Consider the following 21,247-nt stretch of genomic DNA (forward strand, 5'->3'; position numbering starts at 1 on the left):
TATCTATCTATCTATCTATCTATCTATCTATCTATCTACCTACCTATCTCTCTCTCTCATCTCTCTATCTTTCTATGTATGTATCTATCCATCTACGTCCAAATGTATCCCCCAAATTTTATATGTTGAAACTTAATCTCAGCGTGATAGTAGTAAGAGGTGAGACAGTTAGGGGGTGATTAAGTCACGTGGGTGAAAGCTTTATGGGTGGAATTAAGGCTTTGTTAATATGGGAATAAACAAACTCAGTTTCTCTTAATAAATTCTCACAGCATGTTTCTGTCATCAGATATGTGGGGATTTTCCTTCCACACATCAAAAAAGCAGTCAGTTCTGTAGTGGACACCAGCAAGGTGTCCTGTAATTCAGTTCAATTCTGACATAGTCTACCTGGAAACAGTGTCAGGTCCCACAGGTTGAGGGCTCAGTCCCACAAAGCTGCCCCCCAACTTCAGATGCCAATCACAAGCTCCAGATTGTCTTATCTGTGCTTCTGACCCACTGGCTATAAATTGGGATTCCCAAGACCCTGTCTTTGGGTTGGATTAATTTGCTAGAGTGGCTCAAATATCTCAGGGAGATACCTACTTACATTTACTGGTTTGCTATAAAGGATATTACAAAGGATACACGTGAAGAGATGCATAGGCTGAGATACGGGGAAAGGGGCCCAGAGCTTCCATGCCCTGTCCAGGCGCATCACCCTCCAGGAACCTCTATGTGTTCAACTATCCTGAAGCTCTCCAAACTCAGTCCTTTTGGATTTTTATGGAAGCTTCATTATATAGGCATGATTGATTAGATCATTAGCCATTGGTGATTAAGATAACTTTTAGCCCCTCTGTCCTTTCTGGAGGTTGGGGTTGGGGGGCTGAAAGATCCAATCTTCTAATCCTGCCTTGGTCTTTCCAACCCCCATCCTGAAGCTACCTAGGGGCTGCCGCCATCAGTCAACTCATTAGTATACAAAAAGGCACATCACTTTGAAGATTCTAAGGATTTTATGAGTTGGATGCCAGGACACTGGGATGAAGACCAAGACCAAATACATATTTTACAACATCACAAGGGGCCTTATAAAAGGGCTTGAGAGCATGGGCTCATTTCCTTACATCTCTTCTGCCATGTGAGGACAGCATCTATCCCTTTTACCCTTCCACCCTGTGTGGACACAGCAACAGGGCACCATCTTGGAAGCAGGGAATAGACTCTGAGCAGACGCTGAATCTACCAGCACCTTGATCTTGGATTTCCCAGCCTCCAGACCTGTGAGAATACATTTCTATTGTTTATAAATTACCCAGTCTCAGGTATTTTGTTATAGCAGAACAAACAAACTAAGACACTATCATCTATCTTTTAATTATTTTTAATAGCATGATAAGAAATTTGAAATCCATTACTAAAACAAAATCTAACCTATATCTAATATGTTTCTGTCTCCTCCCACCTGAAACATCTAGCCAGCCAGAGACAGAGGGACTTCATGGTTTTCTTTTTGGTGCTTTTAGGCATCACAAGGCATCTGAGGGTGGCTATAATATAGTTGTTAGATGGCTCTGTGGGTACAGCTATATATTTTTGGTACAAAGCCTTTGTCAGTGATATTTCAACTAAATATTTCAACTTCTCCAAACCGTGTGCATTTTTCATTTTACTGAATATTGCCAGTCACTCTCAAGTCACTGCATAGGCATACCTTTCTGGAATTGTGCAGAAGTTCCCACCTGCAAACATTCCATCCACACCACTGTTATCAGGCTTAATATTGTTTGCCAGTCTGGTGACAGTAGTATGGTGTTGTCTTTGCTTGATCTTGTGGTTTTATGATTCCTAGAAAGAACGAGCATCTTTTTATATGTTTATACACCACTTGGACTTTCTGTTATGTGAATTGTCTCTCATGTATTTTGTCCATTTATTTTCTATTATGCTGTTTGTCTTTTTCTCAAGGGTTTAAAAGCATTTTAATTTGTTCCTATTCTAAAGGTTGCTAATATGTTCTCTCAAGCTGTCTTTTACGTTTTTGTGGTGCTTTTTGTCTTACATGCATTAAATTTCCATGTAGTCACAGTTATTCATATGCTTGTGATTAGTGTTTTTTACTGTTACAAAATACACATCACATAAAACTTACCATTTTAAACGTTTTAAAGTCTATAGTTCTGTGCCATTAAGTATATTCACGTTGCTGTGTAACCATCACCACCATCCATCTCCAGAACTTTTTCATCCTCCCCAGTTGAAACTCTTTCTCCATTAAATGCTAACTCCCCATTCCCCTTCCCCTATCCCCTGGTACTCACCATTCTACTTTTTGTCTCTATGAACTGACTATTTTAGGTACCTCATTTAAAAGTGGAATTATAAAATATTTATCCTTTTTAATTGGCTTATTTAACTGAGCATAAGGTCTTCACAGTTCATTTATGTTGTAGCATATACCAAAATTTTTCTTCTTTTTAAGGCTGAGTAACCTTTCAGTGTGTGTGTGTGTGTGTGTGTGTGTACCACATTTTGCTTATTCCTCATCCATTAATAGATAGTTGATATAGTTTTGGTGTCCCCATCCAAATCTCATGTTGAACTGTAATTCCCACATGTTGAAGGAGGGCCTGGTAGGAGGTGATTGATTCATGGGGGCAGACATCCCCCTTACTTTTCCAGTGAGTGAGTTCTCATGAGATCTGGTTATTTAAAAGTTTGGAGCACTTCCCCCGTCTCTCTCTTTCCCCTGCTGCCATGTGAATAAGGTGCTTGCTTCCGCCTTGCCTTCACCTTGATTGTAAGTTTCCTGAGGCCTCCTAGCCATACTTCTTGTTAAGCCTGTGGAACTGTGAACCAATTAAACCTCTTTTCTTGATAAATTACCCAGTCTCAGGTAGTTCTTTATAGCTGTGTGAGAATGGACTAATACAGAAAATTGGTACCAGGAAAGTGGGGCATTGCTATAAAGATACCTGAAAATGTGGAAGTGACTTTGGAACTGGGTAGTGGGCAGAGGTTGGAACAGTATGGAGGGGCCAAAAGAAGATGGGAAGATGTGGGAAAGTTTGGATCTTTCTAGGGACTTGTTGAATGGTTGTGACCAAAATGCTGATAGTGATATGGACAATGAAGTCCAGGCTGAGGAGGTCTCAGATGGAGATGAGGAAGTTACTGGGAACTGTAGTAAAGGTCACTCTTGCTATGCTTTAGCAAAGAGACTGCCAGCATTTTCCCCCTGTTCTAGAGATCTGTGATACTTTGAACTTGAAATAGATGATTTAGCATATCTGGCAGAAGAAATTTCTAAGCAGCAAAGCATTCAAGAGGTGACCTGGCTTTTTCTAAAAGTATACACTCATATGTGTTCTCAGAGGTAGTCTAAAATTGGAACTTATGTTTAAAAGGGAAGCATAGGGTAAAAGTTTGGAAAACTTGAGGCCTGACCATGTGCTAGAAAAGAAAAACCCATTTTTTGGGGAGAAATTCAAGCTGCCGGCTGCAGGAATTTGCATAAGTAAAGAGAAGCTGAATGTTAATCACCAAGACGTTGGGGGAAATGTCTCCAGGGCATTTCAGAGACCTTCAGGGCAGCCCCTCTCATCACAGACCTGAAGGCCTAAGAGGGAAAAATGGTTTTGTGGGCTGGGTCAGGGCCTTGCATCTCTGTGCAGCCTCAGGGCATGTCATCCTGCAACCCAGTGCTCCAGCTCCAGCTGTGGCTATAAGGGGCCAAGGTGCAGCTCAGGCTATTGCTTCAAAAGGTTTAAGTCCCAAGCCTTGGCAGCTTCCATGTGGTGTTGGGCCTGTGGGTGCACAGAAGGCAAGAGTTGAGTTTGGAAACCTCTGCCTAGATTTTGGAAGACGTATGGAAATGCCCAGATGTCCAGGCAGAAGTCTTCTGCAGGGGTGGAGCCCTCACGGATAATCTCTGGTATGACAGTGCACGGGGTGGAAATGTGGGGTTGGAGCCCCCACAGAGAGTGCCCACTGGGGCACTGCCTAGTGGAGCTGTGAGAAGAGGGCTGTCATCCTCCAGATCCCAGAATGGTAGATCCACTGACAGCTTGCACCATGCTCCTGGAAAATCTGCAGGCTCTCAGCACCAGCCCGTAAAAACAGCCATGGGCGCTGTACCCTGCAGAGCCACAGGAGTGGAGCTGCCCAAGGCCTTGGGAGCTCACCCCTAGCATTAACATGCCCTGGATGTGAGACATGGAGTCAAAGAAGATTTAGGAGCTTTATAATTTAATGACTACCCTGCTGGGTTTTGGACTTGCATGGGGCTTGTAGTCCCTTTGTTTTGGTCAATTTCTCCCATTTGGAGAGGAAATATTCACCCAATGCCTGTACTCTGTATTTATGCAATGTCTGTACCTGATTGTATCTTGGAAGTAACTGACTTGTTTTAGATTTTATGGGCTCATAGGCAAAAAGGACTTGCCTTGTCTCAGATGAGACTTTAACTTGGACTTTTAAGTTAATGCTGGAATGAGTTAAGATTTTGGGGGACTGTTGGGAAGGCAGAATTGGTTTTGAAATGTGAGAAGGACATGAGATTTGGGAGGGGCCAGGGATGGAATGATATGGTTTAGCTCTGTGTCCCCACCAAAATCTCAGGTTGAACTGTAATCCCCATGTGTTGAAGGAGGGCCTGGTGGGAGGTATTGATTCATGGGGGCAGACTTCCCTCTTGCTATTCTAATGAGTGAATTCTCATGAGATCTGATTGTTTCTTCTCAAAAAAGGAGGTTTGAAAGTCTGTAGCACTTTCCCCACCTCTCTCTGTCTCCTGCCGCCATATGAATAAGTCACTTTCTTCTCCTTTGTCTTTCGCCATGACTCTAAGTTTCCTGAGGCCTCCCAGCCATTCTTCCTGCAGAACTACGAGTCAATTAAACCTCTTTTCTTCATAAATTACCCAGTCTCAGATAGTTCTTTATAGCAGTGTGAGAATGGACTAATACAACAGTTGAGTTACTTCCAACCTTTTGGCTATTGGGAATAATGCTGCTCTGAGCATAGGTATATAAATATGTGTTTGAGTCCCTGCTTTCACCTCTTTTGGGTATAAACCCAGAAGTGGAATTGCTGGATCATTTTTTTAATTTTTCTGAGTAATTTCTATTATATTTTCCACAGTGGCTGTGCCATTTTACATTCTTATCAATAATATACAAGGGTTCCAATTTCTCCACCTTGTCACCAACACTTGATTATTCTGTTTTTATTTTTTTTAATTAATAGTCATCCTAATGGGTGTGCAGTGGTATCCTGGTTTTGATTTGCATTTCCCTAATGATTAGTGATGTTGAGCTTCTTTTCATGTGTTTATTGGCCATTTGTATATCTTCTTGGGAGAAATATCTATCAAGTCCTTTGCCCATTTTTGAATTGTGCTGTTTCTTTTTTGTTGTTGTTTAATTCTAGGAGTTCTTTATTCTGGATTTAAATCCCTTATCAGATATATAATTTGCAAATTTTTTCTCCCATTTTATGAGCTACCTTTTTACTCTGTTGATAGTGCTCTTTGATACACAAAAGCTTTTAATTTTGATGAAATCCTGCTTATCTATTTTTTCTTTTTCAGATTGTGCTTTTGAGTTCATATCCAAGAAATCATTGCCAAATTCAATGTCATGAACTCTCCTCCTCCTTTTTTGCATTTTAAGGTATCTTTACCTTCAATAAATTTATATTTTATTTTAAAATGTCTTTTATTTTTTATATTTAATCTTTTGTTGAGGAAAAATATATTTTTATGAATGAAATGAGAAAGGGATCCAATGTATTTAATTTCATGAGGCTTCCTGATTGCTACAAACCATTTCTTGAATAATACTTTTTCTCCAATTATTTGTAATGTTAGCTTTGTACCTATATATGGGAGTGGGGAAGTCTACCTCTCTCATGCTCTTTATTCATTTTTACTAATCTATATCTTACCCCTGGGTCACCATTACACTGTCATTAAATCATTAATACAGTATATAATTAGCTTTGCTCTCTGGTAGGGCCTGTTCCCCTTTGTGGAGAAAAGAGCTCATATAGCAGTCCTGATACTGCTCTCTTTAGAAAGTCCTGCTTACAAAGTTGGCCGTGGAATGATGGCTGGGAACTTGGATTTGGGGATGGTTGCCACCATTTCCAGAACTGATAAGAGTGGCTCACTGTGTCTAAAGCATTTGTACAAAGAGTAGGTTCATGTTAACCACCTGCTTTACTTCCAGGAGTCTGGAAGTTTGGTGCATGTCAGGCAGAGGGGGCCCATGTATCCAGCCAGCAGTAAAAACCCTGGACAATGAGTCTCAGTGGCCTTCCCTGATAGATGTGCTGTCATAGCACATTGCTGGAAGAATCAAGTGAGTCCCATGCAACTCCACTTGGAGAGGACCCTTAGAAGCTTGCACCCAGTTTTCTCTGGACTTTGCCCTCGTGCCTTTTCCCTTTGATAATTTTGCTTTGCATCCTTAACTGTCATAAGTTATAGCCATGAGGGTGACCACATGTCAAGTCCTGTGAGTCTCCTGGTGAATCATTAAACCTGGGGTGGTCTTGGGACCCTGAACACACCCTTTCTCCTTCTCTGGTGCCTCTTTCTTCTTCTTTTTATTCAACAATATCTTGGTTATCCTCATATTTTTATTCATTTTTATGACTCTTACAATTCTCGAGGATTCAGTTGACATCTCATTGCATTTGCCAATAAATCTGGGGGTGGAAAGGGATCAATATCTATGTCTGTGTCAAATATTGTGTCTTCATTCTCAGTACCAGCCTCATCATCCTGAGCTCTTCCCTGTGCCTCTGGATCATGGAGCCCGAAAACTACATTTCCCAGACTCTGTTGTTCATGGGCCCAGTGAGAGTCCATCATGCGAGGCACTGGCATGAGGTTGGAAGGAGGAAGTGAAGGCCTATTTCTTCTCTCTGGGACTCTGTGTGTATGGCAAAGCACAGACAAGGAATTTTGACCACAACTTTGAGCATCCTTTTGAGAAGCACTCACACTGGGCTCCAGCATCTGCCCTGTGATCCCAGAACCCTCAGAATTCCTGACCGTGCCCTTCCTGGGTTTTGCTCCCTCAACTTTCCAAAGACTATGAAAACCTCCAATTCTGTATCGTGTCTCTTCATCCTTAGAGTTCCCAGAATATTTTTTCTTTCCCTGGCCAGATCTTAACTAATATTGTTAAATCAAGTTTAGACTAAAGCTGCCTCCTTATACATTTTACGTTCAGTCTAAAGTTGTATCTGTACATAATAAACTGCAACTGAATTGGATGTGTAAACAAACTAACCTACTCTTGCGCCAGTCACTGTGTTTGGGCGAATTAAAGACAGCCAAATGTTCAAACTTTTCAAATAAGGCAAATGCCGAGCTATAATCCATCTAGCTCTTTCTGTGCCTCAATTCTATTGTCTGTAGGTCACTTTCCTTTTTCTGACCATAAATGTTCTTCCACCACATGGCTGTGCTGGAGTCTCTGAGCCTACTCTGGTTCAGAAGTTTGCCTGATTTGCAAATCATTCTTTGTTCAACTAAACTCTTTTAATTTTAACTTGTCTATGGTTTTGCTTTTAACAATATAACACCAGCTGGGCACAGTGGCTCATGCATGTAATCCCAGCACTTTGAGAAGCTGAGGTGGGTGGATCACTTGAGGTCAGGAGTTCGAGACCAGCCTGGCCAACATGACGAAACCCCGTCTGTAGTAAAAATACAAAAATTAGTTGGGCATGGTGGCACCCACTTGGAATTCCAGCTACCTGGGAGGCTGAGGCAGGAGAATTGCTTAAACTCAGGAGGTGGAGGTTGCAGTGACCAAGATCCCAACATTGCACCCCAGCCTGGGTGACAAGAGTGAGACTCCATCTCAAAAACAAAAACAAAAACAAAAAACAATATAATACCACTCTGGTTCTTCCTTGCTCCATCACTTCATTTATTTAGGTCTTTTTTATATCCTTGATAGTTTTATAAATTTCTCTGTAAAGTTCCCCAGCAGAATTGAGCTCCCATTGTCCACAGCAGCATTCGTGGTAACTGTCATAACAGTCTGAATGTTTGTATCTTTGCAAATTCCTGTGTAGAAAGCTAATCACCAATATTATAGTATTAGAGGGCAGGGTCTCTGGGAGATGATTAGGTCATGGGGGTGGAGACCTCATGACTGGGACAAATGAGGCCCACAGAGCTCCCTTGCCCCTTCCACAATGTGAAGATGCAGCAAGAAGGCCTCCTCTAGAAACCATAAGAAGGCCTCCTCTAGAAACCATAAGAAGGCCTCATCTAGAAACCATAAGAAGGCCTCATCTAGAAACCATAAGAAGGCCTCATCTGGAAACTATAAAGCAGGCTTCTCGAGACACCAAATCTGCAGTGCTTTGGTCTTGGACTTGCCAGCCTCCAGAACTGTAAGAGATAAATATCTGTTGTTTATAAGCCACCCAGTTTATAGTATTTTGTTATAGCTGCGTGAATGGACTAAGACAATAGCAAACCCTCACACTGGTTTCTTTTCCTGCTTTCCTGTCTCATTTGCCTTGTTCCCTTACTCCTGCTTCCTGGGATCATCTTCCTTAACAAGCCACGTGTTTAAGTCCATTCTCACACTGCTATAAAGAAATACCTGAGACAGCCATTTATAAGGAAAAAAGTTTATTTGGCTCAGAGTTCCACGGGCTGTACAGGAAGCACGACTCTGGCATCTGCTCAGCTTCTGGGGAGGTCTCAGAAAGCTTACAATCATGGCGGAAGGCAAACGGGGAGTGAAGCATCTCACATGGCAGGAGCAGGAGCAAGAGAGAGAGGGAGAAGGTGCTACACACTTTTAAACAACCAGATCTTGTGATGACTCACTCACTATCATAAGAACAGCACCAAGGGGACGGCGCTAAGCCATTCATGAAGGATCCACCCCCATGATCCAGTCACCTCCCACTGGGCCCCACTTCCAACTTTGGGGATTAGAATTTGACATGAAATTTTGGTGGGGACACAGATCGAAAACGTATCACTACTTATACCTAAATCCCTGTCTTAGCTTGAAAGAAACCCACACTAAAATATGCATTTACTCAGAAGCCATAACAGCAATAGCTACTATTGCTGGATATTTACCATATGCTGGGCATGTGGTTATGCTGAACAAACACTATCTCCTTTAATTCTCCCAGAATTCCCATGGTGCACTTACTTTATGAACAAGGAAACGAAACACAGAGTTGAAATAACTTGCTTGAAGTCAGAAAGCAAGGACCTGGCAGAGTCTGGGTTCTAACCCGGGACTCTCCAACTCCACATTTTTGAACTTGCCCCACCCCTATTCTGATGTCAAAGTCCAGATCCTTCCATGAGTGTGTTGTGTGACTTTGGTTCCATCATTTTAAATCTCTGAACTCACCTGGGTCTGAATTAGATGATCTCAAAATCTCTCTCTAGCATTAGCAGATGATAGCCCCATGACTCCAGGATGCAGATCACCTCCCGAGTGTCCCTTCCTCAGTGGTTTGCATGGAACTAAGTACATAGTTCCACCTCCAGTTCTACAGCCCTTGCAGATCCCCTACACCATGGCTGTCTCACTGATAAAGGCCAGAGCCCAAGTCTGGAAATCCACAATCCACGCAGAAAGATGGAAGGAGCCTGGGAAGAGGGAATGAGCTCCCTCCGTGAGGCCCAGGGTCAAGAGGAGCCCCTTACTGTTCCAGCCCCCACAAGGGATGGCTTTATGCTTCCTGCAGAGGGTAGCCTTGCAATGTGCATAAATTAAGCACGGTTCAGTCTTTATTGCCACGCAAAGCCTTGGGAGGACTGTTTTATATGTCTCTGTTCTCATGGCGTTAGCATCATATAGGCTGAAATTAATTCCACCAGACGGGCTGCTCACAAGCAGAGCCAAGAATTTCCTGGGAAGGAGTTAGGTCTGACTTTGGCAGCCGCTGTGTGCAGTGATAAAGGCGTCTCAGACGGTCTCACACAGCTGGGGCATCCAAGGGTATTATATTCTTTGGCCCTCGAGGGCTATTTCTCCCTCTTCCAGAAAACTGGGTGTGGAGTATGGGCTTGGAGTCAAGGCTGATCACAGATGGGAAATAGACCCTGGCATTCTCCCTCATCCCTGGATCATTTGATCGATGAGGCTAGGGAATCCCAAACAGGCCAGCCATCGTCCCTGTCTCAGAGCGCCGGAGCCATTGGGCCTGACTTCTGGGCTGGCTCACCTGCCCTGAAACCAGACTATTACCCACAGGAGATGGTTGCCTGAGCCCTGTGGCCTTGCTTCTGCCTTGAGTTCTGTTGGTCCTTTGTTTTGCAAAGAACTTCTAATATGGTGTCCAATTTGAGGTACCCCAGAGGCCGGGAAAGTAGGGGAGGTGATATTATTAGGCATGCTAATAATCATTATGATAATCACCACTATTTACCAAGTATTTCCCTCTGTACCAGCCCCCTTGGAAGCACTTTACACACATGAACACATTGCTTTGCAGAGAGGCCCATAGAGGAGAATGAAATGACCGAGGGCAGAGACACTCCCAGGGAATCTGCTCTGTGCCAGCCTCCTCCCCAGAAATTTCACAATCCAGAACTGTTGCAAAGCTTGCAGCTTGCCAAACATATTGTGTTAATCTCCATCCCTTTGCTTATGCTCTTCCATTTATGTGTCTAGCATTCCCTGGAAAATGCCTATTCATCCCTCAAAACCCAGCTCAGGATGCGTTTCCTTCTGCAAGCCGTGTTGTATCTCCCCAGGCTGATTGCATCTCCATTCAACCAGCACGTATTGGGAAGATTTCAAAAGGAATAAAGAACTCTTGTCTGCACGGGAGCTTAGTTTAGTGGCTGCTGAGTCCAGTCCCTCTTCAGAGCCACTCCCCTCCCTGACTGTCCCAGCCATCTTTCTCACCCTCCAGATTCCTGTTGGGTTTGGCCAAGGGGCGACATCAGCAGGAGATCTGAGGGCGGGAGAAGAGTGGGAATGGGTGTTGGTTCCCCTAACTCCCTCTCTGTGTGGTGTATGCACGTGTCTTTTGTGTTCTGTATTCAGATTCTTTGACGTCTGAGGCCTTGCTAATCCTGGAGGGACTGCCCCTCCCAGGGCTGGCCAATCTAGAAATGGTCAACAATTCGCTCAAGAGTGTGCTTTTCAAACGCCAACCAACTGATCCAGAGCCCACACCCTCCACCTCCTCCCCTATGGGGCTGTCACACTCCACCTGCCCTGATCATCCCAGGGCTGGAAACCAGACAATGCAGGGCAGCAACTCTGAGCCCCAGATCAGCTAAAATTATTCAAACCAGCAATCCTAAGCCTGCCTGCCCTGCCTCTTTCATTCCTTCCAATCAAAACCTCAATGGAGGTTCTTGCCTACTGTGTCTCCCCTCCCTGTCTCCTGACCCACCTACGTGTTTCCCCAGTGGCTCTTCATAGCATGGTGGGCCCTTTCTTATTGGGAACTCTAAGGGACAAATGATCTTTTCAGTGTCAGTCCTCTCCCAATCTGCTGGCCTTATCATACCGAAATAATATTCATATGGCCAGGCGTGGTGGCTCAGGCCTGTAATCCCAGCACTTTGGGAGGCTAAGGTGGACGGATCACCTGAGGTCGGGAGTTTGAGACCAGCCTGACCAACATGGAGAAACCCCATCTCTATTAAAAATACAAAATTAGCTGGGCGTGGTGGCACATGCCTGTAATCCCAACTACCTGGGAGGCTGAGGCAGGAGAATCGCTTGAACTCGGGAGGCGGAGGTTGCGGTGAGCCAAGATCACATCTTTGCCCTCCAGCCTGGGCAACAAGAGCAAAACTCCGTCTAATAATAATAATAATAATAATAATACATACATACATACATACATGAACACATGAGGTTGCTTAGGACGGGCTGCTTCTGTCTGCTAGAGCCCCACTGCTCTGGCCCGTTGCTCCCATCTTGTGTTTCTGTCTCCGTTCCAGAGACCACCCCCTCACTCCCCATCGGGCCTAGGAGCAGTGACACTACCCCCTGCCCTTAGCCCCTGGGTTCTACACTGTCTCTTGCTGGTTACCCAAACCTCGTTCACAACTTGGTGAGTAGTCTTTGTATTAAAGTCTTTGTATTAAAGTATTTGTATTAAACAGTTTGAGAGTCTCTGTTTCTTGGTGGGGATGGAGCCATGAGCAGACCAGTTGAACACCCTCCTCTCCATCTATCCAACCGCCTTCACTTGCTTGTCTCGAAATCTGCCTCTGGCAGGACTCTTGAGTCCAGCCTCTGCTTCCCACATCTTGGTGTCCCTGCACAGCAAAGCAATCCCCAACCTGCAGGGAGCTGAGACAAGCAGCAGGATGGAAGGACAGCATTTGGTGGTTGGTCCAATGGAGGGATTGACGGAGGAGTCACAGAGGATGCCCAGGTCTCCAGTGTCACCAGTGGTGGGGCCAGACAGAGAATAGGCTTGTGGGGGAAAGAGATGAATTCATTCATGCTGTACAGAGCTGGAGGGGCCTGTGGCATCCACATGGCCAGTGAACCACGTAAGAGGGGGTCATGGTGTGGAGAGACCCCCCAGGAACCATGCAGAGAGGAATGGGAGTGGGTCCAGGGGAGCCGGGCTGGCATGTGGAAGCAGCAAGAAGCCACTGCTGGGGTGAAAAGCAGAGAAAGGAGAGGAGAGGGCAGAGCCCAAGGACCAGGCAAGGCAGGCTCTCATGGGGAAGTCCCAGGGACGTGGGCTGAGAGGGACCTTTGCATTTGCCCACTGAAACATCATGCGGGTCTGTGAGTTTTGCGGCAAGGAGGAGGGGGCAAAGGTGTGTTTGAGCAGGCGAGGATGACCATGGAAGGTGCGTGAGTCCTGACATGGGTGTGCTCAGAGGATAGCCTCGGATACGCGCAGGTGCGTGAGAAACTGTTGAAGGAAAGCGAACACGGGCAGGAGGGGTGTTGGGGGCTAAACTGTGTCCCCCTCACCCACATTCACATGTGGAAGCCCTGAAACCCCATACTTCAGAGTGTGATTGTCATTGGAGATAGGGCCTTTAGGGAGGTGATTAAGGTGAAATGAGACCATCAGAGTGGGGCCCCAATCTAGTACAGTTGGTGTCCTCATAAGGAGGGGAAGAGACACCAGAGCCCTCTCCCCTCGAGCATCCACACAGGAAAGACTGTGTGAGGACACAGCAAGAAGGTGGCTGTCTACAAGCCAGGTAGAGAGGCCTTACCAGGAACCAACCCTGTTGCACCTTTATCCTGGACTTCCAGCCTGCCGAACTGTGAGAAAAGAAACTCCTGTTCTTTAAGCTGCCTGGTCTGTAGTGTTCTGTTAGAGCAGCCTGAGCTGACTAATACAACAGGTATGGCCACCTGGCCCAGGTGGGGCAGGTGGGGGAAGGACAGGAAATGGAGACAGCTGAAGGACGGGCAAAGTTGAGTGGCTGAAAGTGTAGGGAACAGCATTTCATGCAGAGGGAATTGCATGTCCAAAGCCTGGCATGCAGCAAGCATGGCTCATTGGAATAATCAAAAAACAGGTCATTTTTACAGTAGGATTTGCCTGTGTGTGTGTGTGTGTGTGTGTGTGTGTGTGTGTCTGTGTCTGTGCTTAGCTTTTCCTTATGTTTTCTTTCTTATGGAGCCTCATATGCAGAGGGTTGTGGTGATCATATTCTTATTTCCTGACCTCATCCCCATCTAGTAGGAGAAAGCCTTTATTTTCTCTGATTTCTTCCCTCTTAGCCCCATATCCCAGCTCCGTTCGTCCCATAGTCAACCGTTCTACAGTTTTGACGTGTACTTTTCAATTATAAAATATGTGCTGCTATTTGTATGGATATATATATTTTTGTAGGACGTGTTGGGTCCTATATCTCAATTTCTCCCTTTCTTCTTTCTTTCCTCCTGTCCTTTCTTCCTTCTCCTTCCTTCCTTCTTTCTTTCTTCCTTCTCAGCCTTGTGTGAGGTCTTAAGATCCATCATGTTGCTGTGAAGTGGTGGTGAAATCTGTCACTTATACGCCAGGGCATTGCATCCCCTCCATCTTCCCTGTGATGGACACACAGGGTCTTTTCCTCTTCTTCTCCTAGGGTGGAGATTTGCAGAGTGTCTGATGAAGGAGGGAGTGAGACAGGAGGCCAGGAACCCCAGGGATGGCAGGATGGGGAGGGTCTAGTTCAGGACAAGGGAGAAGAAGGAGGTCCTATGACCTTGTGTGATTTCTCCAGGGACAGTGTGAGTGGATGGATTTGCCCAGGGTTGGGAATGGCTGGGACCCACAAGATGACAGGGAAGGGAGCAGATGACGGCACCTTCTAGAACACCCTTTCATTTCACCCTGTGAGCAGGGGAGGCCCAACTGAGACTGGCTAGTTGCTCTGGGAGGTGGGCTAGTTGGCATCCTTTCAACAGATTGTCTTTAAATACTTGTGGAACACTTATTTGCTGGGGTGCAGAGAGGAACTTATTTTTATTAATAAAAATTGCATGCCTCTCTATGCTCAAAATAAGAGATTTATTATGTGCATTTATTATAGGTGATTTTCCAAACCAGACAGCATCTTGGGAGGCATATTAAAGAGTCTAAAATGTAGATGATAATAAAATAAAGCCCTCATCTGGGGTCAACAGCCCTACATAATACCTCATTCTGTTTCTGAATCTCGGCTGGCTGTGATTTGCAGCTTCACATTCCCTATTGATGGCTGGAGCCAAGTGGATACAGCTCGCGGAGCTTGGCACAGAAATCTATGGCTGAGGCGGGTCATCCAGAGAATAGTGTGGTTTAATTTCCACTCCAGGCAGTGTCCACACTGGCAGGACCAGGGTTCAAGCTCCCCTTTGGCCAACTCTGTAAGCTATCGTGAGTGGAGACCTGCACTAACTGGAGCTGGATTTCTGATTTTTGCCAGTGATGTTTTCCTGCCCTTATGAGCCATGTCCCAGGCAGAGGCCTGGCTGGCCACTCTTGACACACCACTAGAGGTAGCTGCTGTAGTCCTTATTTTACAGCTGATGGCACAGGGACTCAGAATGGCTTAGTGACTTGCTAAAAGCCACATAACAAGCCTGGGCATGGTGGTTCATGCCTGTAATCCCAGCACTTTGGGAGACTGAGATGGGAGGATTGCTTGGGTCCAGGAGTTCAAGATCAGCCTGGGCAACAAAGTGAGAACCCCATCTCTACAAAAATTGAAAAAATTAGGCAAGCATGATGGCACGCACGAGCTACATGAGAGGCTGAGGTGGGAGGATTGCTTGAGCCTGGGAAGTTGAGGCTGCAGTGAGCTGTGATCACACCACTGCACCCCATCCTGGGTGACAGAGTGAGACCTTATTTCAAAAAATGAAAATTAAAAAATGAAAAACCACCAACACAAAAGCAATGAAACTGGGATTTGAATTCAGCTGATCTCAGAGCCCTGCTATTGCATTGGGCCTCGTAGTATATAAACCATGTCTTTTTTTTTTTTTTTTTTTTTTTCTGAGATGGAGTCTCACTCTGTCGCCCAGGCTGGAGTGCAGTGGCGCAATCTCGGCTCACTGCAAGCTCCACCTCCTGGGTTCATGCCATTCTCCTGCCTCAGCCTCCCGAGTAGCTGGGACTACAGGCGCCCGCCACCACGCCCGGCTAATTTTTTGTATTTTTTAATAGAGACGGGTTTCACCGTGTTAGCCAGGATGGTCTCGATCTCCTGACCTCGTGATCCGCCCGCCTCGGCCTCCCAAAGTGCTGGGGTTACAGGCGTGAGCCACCACGCCCGGCCAAACCGTGTCTTTTATTTTCTGTATTCTGATGCTTTCATGTCTGAGACCTTGCAGACCTTAGAGAGACTGCCCCTTCCCAGGGCTAGCCAATTTCTATAGATTGGAAACCACTCCTGTGAGTGTGACTTTCAGATGTAAACCAACCAGTCCAGATCCCACACCCCAACCACCTCCTCTATTGAGCTCTCAGTCAGAACCACTGTTCCCCTCTATGCCCCTAGGCAACCCAGGGTAGTGACGCTGCCTTGCCCATTCCTTCCCATGGAAACCACAGCAAAGGCTCTTGCCCACGTGTTTCTGCCCCTTCTGCCTCCTGACTGACCCTGGTGACTTGCACGGAGTGCTGTGCCTGTCATTTCCAGGGATCCGTGAGAGAAACACTTTTTCATTCATGATAGTCACTTCCTTGAGTCTTATATTTGATTAAAATAAATCCCGGGTCCCCTTAAGAGTGCACAGATTTTCTAACAATCGATATCCTGTTGATGCCAGGTGCCTGGCTCAGAGCTTTCACCCTCCCTTTTTCATTTTGGGTATAATCACATACAGTAAAATGCCACCCGTCTTATCTTCATCAGCACCAGCACCACCTCCTATCGTCCCCAGTTTACCCACAAGGAAACTGTATGGCAGAGAGGTTCAGTAATTTGCTGGACATGCAGAATAAACCAGTAGCTGAGAAGGAATCAAGTCAATGTCTCATCAATTCCTCTGACTCTCTAATGACAGGGTTGGAAAATAGCCTCCTGTTACTTCTGCTTGTGCACCTGACTGAGCCCTCTCTAAATTCTGCAAGAATCACTCACTCATTCATTGTCTCACGTGATCATTCACTGTCAGTGACTCTGTGCCCAGCCCTACGTAAGGCACTTGGGCAATAGAGAAATGATTCCAATGTGGTCCTTGTCCTCAAGGCCCTACAGCCCAGCTGGGGTCGGGCCTACACAGAGAAGCTGGCCAGGCTCAGTGGAGTTGGCGCTGGACTGGGGGAAGCAGAAGCATCCAGGGGCCTCCCTGGCCCCGCATGATAGAGGGAACCTACAGCCGACAAGCCCCGGGCTAGCTGGGCTCCGCCCGTGCCCGTGCCCTTGAGATCAGAGCCCTCCATGTCCTCTCTTGTTTTAACAAGCAGGGAATTTCCGCATCTTCTACCACCTGGAAGCAAATTCCACCAGCCCCTCTGCTCGCCACTCTTCCCTTCTCTGCCCACAAACCCCTTCTGTCTTTCCTATCTGGTACTGAGTGCTGTGTGATGTTATCTTTTTACTGCAAATGACGATGTGAACCTTAGTTATGAGGGTATCCAAAGCCACTTTCTAAATTGTGATAATTATCACAATTATCAACTTATCCCCTTATCTGCAGGGGATATGTTCCAAGACCTGCAGATGCCTGAAACCTCAGATAGAATCAAACCCTAAATGCGCTATGTCTTTTCCTATACGCTCATAACTATGATAAGGTTTAATTTATAAATTAGGCAGGCACGATAAGAGATTGACAACATTAATAATAAAATAGAACAATCATAACAATCTACTGTAATATAAGAACAATTATAACAATCTACTGTTATTACAACAATCTACTGTAATAACAATTATAACAATCTATTATAATAAAAGTTATGTGAATATGGTCTCTTTCTCTTTCAAAATATCTTATTGTACTGTACTCATCTACTTCCAGAGCTCAGTTGATCGTGGATAACTGACATAAGGAAGGCAAAAGTGGGTGAAGGAGGCCTGCTGAATTGGGAAATTGTTAGACAACATTCTACAACGGCTGAACAGTGCTTGTCATTTCAGTGCTGTACAAGAATATTAATGATGTGGAAAGCTGTCCATTATAATAAAGTTCAAAAAGAACTTGCAAAATACAAGATGCATTATGATCCCATTTGGTATAAATATTGGAAATGTATGCATCAGTGTCTAAGGATTGGGATTCAGGAGGTTTTCCTTTTCTCCCAGCTCATCTGTGGTCTTCTCTATTTCTATAAGAACAGGTATTGTGTAAAACAAAAACATTTGCATTTACTACGGTCCCTCCCTGCTTTCTACCGAGTCTGTGTTACTGGGCACAGAGATGGTCCTGGAAGAACAGAGATCTTAAGAAGGAACGGGCCTGTTCCAGGAGCTGGGAATTTGATTGCCTTTTTGTCCCACGGTGATCCCTCCAGGTCCCCAGGTTGGGTTGAGAGCTCTGTCACAACAACCTTTGGGTTGTGGTCCATGCCCATGTCACGCAGTAGAGGGTTCCTCTGTAAAGTAGAAATAATCGCCTCCACTCTCCCTGTTGGAAATTGAATGGCTTTATGCACGTAAAGCACCCAGCCCGAGGCCTGGTACACACTGAGTGCGCAGTAAAAGCCCAGCCATGGGCACCCTACCTTGTGCTCTTCTCTCAGCTGTCCTTGTGCTTCTCTGCTTCCATTCCTGATTCCTCCTCGCTCCGTCTTTTCTCACCTTCCGTCTCTAGTCCTTACTCCCATAATTCCTTCTTTCTTTTGCTGTCTCAGCAAGACAGGAGCAATCCTTGTTATCAAGACCAAGTTTTTTCCCAATGGTGTTATCTCATCGAAGCCTCCTAACCTTGCCGTCAAATCAGTGGTGTCATGCCCATTTTACAGAAAAGGAAACTGAGGCCCTGCATGATGCACTGTGCATTGGGATTGGTTTTGGATGGCTGTCTCAAGTCTCCAACGATCCTGTAAGCACTAAGGGTAAAGACTGCGTCTCCTTCACCCTCTGTATCCCACACCCCCTACCATGCACCCATCTTGTGAAGCCAAAAGAGGTGGGGCCTGGGTGAGCAGGAAGGATCTAGTATGACAGTGGCGGTGAGAGGATTATGCCACGGTGTAGAAAGAGTAGTTAGATTTAGAACTCTTAGCTCCTGTTCGGGCGGCCTCAAGCCAGTAGCTAAGTTCTCTAAGCCCAGTTTCCTCATCTGTAAACCAGAGATAATAACAGTCCCCACACTCCATGGGCCTCTGTGATGATTAAACGAGAAACATACATAAAACTCCTAACAGGAGAACCGGGTGGGCCATGTATGTGCAGGCAGGTCAGCCGGGTGGCGCAGTGCTCTGGACTGGAGGCAGGGTGTCGTCTTCAGCTTCCTCACCTGGGGCAATGACTCTGCCCCAGCCTTACCAGCCTGGTGTTCTGGGTGCTAATGGAGTGGGGGTGGCACTCAACTGAGGGTTGGGGGCTTCACAGCAAATTCATTTCCACCCACCCAGACCATCCCCTGCCCTCTTTCTTAACAGGACTCATGAAAACCGGGTCACATTTTCCCTTTGCTCTTGATGAACCAATAACCTTGAACATCTGAAAATAAAACGTCTATGGCCCCCACAGCCTACTGAGGTTGTGTGGCTCTGCAGACATTATAAAACATCAAATTAGATGGAAAATTGCCCGGGGTCCCTGTAAATGAAAATTACTCTTTTTTATAGGGGGAAAAAATGACCCTTATAATCGCAACAAACAATTCTGGGCTCTTCCTTTTATTAGCCGGCTCACATGGCAAGCAGTATTTTCTCATTCCACCGCTTTGGCCCCAACCCATGTTTTTACCACATTTTACTTTGCACATTTTCACAGCATTGTAACATGAAAATGAGGTTCTGCCCTTGTCTTGAGTTCCTGTTGGAAGGGGATGTTTTGCCTCCGCAAAGTTTTAGCCTCCTGGTGAGTGCTGGCTGGATCCAGGCTTGGTGTAGGGTGGTGAAAGAGCACTGGATAGGGGGTTAGATGACTAAGCCTGCTGTGTGACTTCCAGCTGGTTGCTTAACCTCTCTGGGCTGCACTTTCTTCCTCCATGATAGGAGAGGGCTGGATTGGGTTAGGGATGGCACAGTCAATGCCTCTAGGTGCCAGCAAGGTGATGTCCATGTGTGATGGCCCTGTGTAAAACACCCTCGACCTCCATGGGGTCAAGCCAGGGCTTGTGGCCTCCCATTCTTGTCCACATCCCGACATAAAAACTTAGGCATTTTTTTTCTTTTTTCCTGTAGAACCTCACAAGAATATTTTGGAAACAAGACAAAGAGGGAGGATGCTGTTGGCTGTAGCTCAGAGCTTCTCAACACAGGGCTGATTTGGGCCCTGATTTGGCCATGTCTGGGGCGTTTTTGGCTGTCATGACTGGGCCATCATCTGGTGATGCTGCTGACATCCTGTGGGTGGAGGCCGGGTCTGTGGCTAAACACCCCACAGTGCAAAGCCCCACCACCGACAAAGGACTAGGTGGCCCCAGACGCCCCCAGTGCCCAAGGCTGAGAGCCCTGCAGCAGGGCGGGGTTGGGTTGGATTTGGGAGTGGAGACTGGCTGGCCTGGGTGGGTCCCTGCCACTGGCTTGACACCCTGTGATGCAAAGCAGTGCCCGTGGAGCCTTGGATCGCTGGCTGTCAGCCACATGAGTCAGCAGGGCCCGAGCACAGCCTCCATGCTCTCTGGCTGTGATGGGCCTACAGACTGACCTTTGTCAAGGGCTGGAGAACCTCGGACGGCTGCCACCAAGCCCCAGGCAGAGCCTAAAGATTTGTCAGGGTTGGGGGTGGGGGACCAAAGATGCTGGTTAAGTGTTGAGGAGTGAGGAAGCCACAGTGACTAAGCCGCGCCTGGGCGCCGCGGGCTGATCCTAATGAAGCCTAGCCAGTCTCTCCTCCACAGTTTTGACACAGTTAGAAAAACTTTCTCTTGTTTAACTGGAAACAGCCACCCACACTCACCCTTTCACATACCAGTTGCCTTCTTGCAGATCATAGGAAATAAACTGACCTTTTAAAAAATCACAAGTGAAATATAAGGAAACAGAGTGAGCGGAGGCGTTTAGGGGTCTTGAATTCGGCCCACTGGGCAGGAGTGAGCAGGAGTGAGATATGTGAGGCTGTGTGAGTCCATCCTGCCTCCACTCTCTGTGCTCCCGTCTGTGGAGTGGGGCAGTGGACACGGGCTCCTCAAGCCTGCTGGCTCTCTCGGTTTAGGTGTCTCCTGACGGGAGTGGGAATCCGGGCAGGGGCGGGTGGCTGCTTCTCAGGGCCTTCTCACGGCTCCCTTCTCGGGACATTTCATTCACAGATTTGTGAATCTGCAGTTTTGGGAGGATGACTAAAGGTCACTTTGTCCAACCTCAAATGCAGATATGCCCTCTACTTTCTTCCCAAGAGGTAACATTGTCTCTCCTTGGTGGCTCCTGGGATGAGGGGCTTACTCCTATGCCCAGGCCAGCCAATTTCATTCCTGGACACCCCTGGACAGCTCTCGCTTCCGTGCGTGCTGTTTTTTTTTTCCTTTTTTCTTTTTTTTTTTTTTTTGAGACAGACTCCAGCCTCGCTCTGTCGCCCAGGCTGGAGTGCAGTGGTGCCATCACCACTCACTGCAACCTCGTCCTGCAGACTCAAGCGATCCTCCCACCTCAGCTGGGATTACAGGCATGTGTTACCACACCTGACTAATTTTTGTATTTTTAGTAGAGACAGAGTTTTGCCATGCTGCCC

At 46.3% G+C, this 21,247-nt stretch overlaps 1 long non-coding RNA gene across 1 annotated transcript in view; it reads left to right on the plus strand.

Moving 5' to 3' along the window:
• LOC101928306 (uncharacterized) overlaps positions 1–17,616 on the plus strand; it is a 67,864-nt gene extending 50,248 nt beyond the window's left edge. Inside the window, exon 3 of the long non-coding RNA NR_125893.1 lies at positions 17,427–17,616. This is a non-coding gene — a long non-coding RNA (uncharacterized LOC101928306). The remainder of the gene's footprint in view (positions 1–17,426) is intronic.
• Positions 17,617–21,247: the final 3,631 nt, after the last annotated feature.

Source organism: Homo sapiens, chromosome 4 (assembly GCF_000001405.40).
Source record: "Homo sapiens chromosome 4, GRCh38.p14 Primary Assembly".
Taxonomy (NCBI): Eukaryota; Metazoa; Chordata; class Mammalia; order Primates; family Hominidae; genus Homo; species Homo sapiens.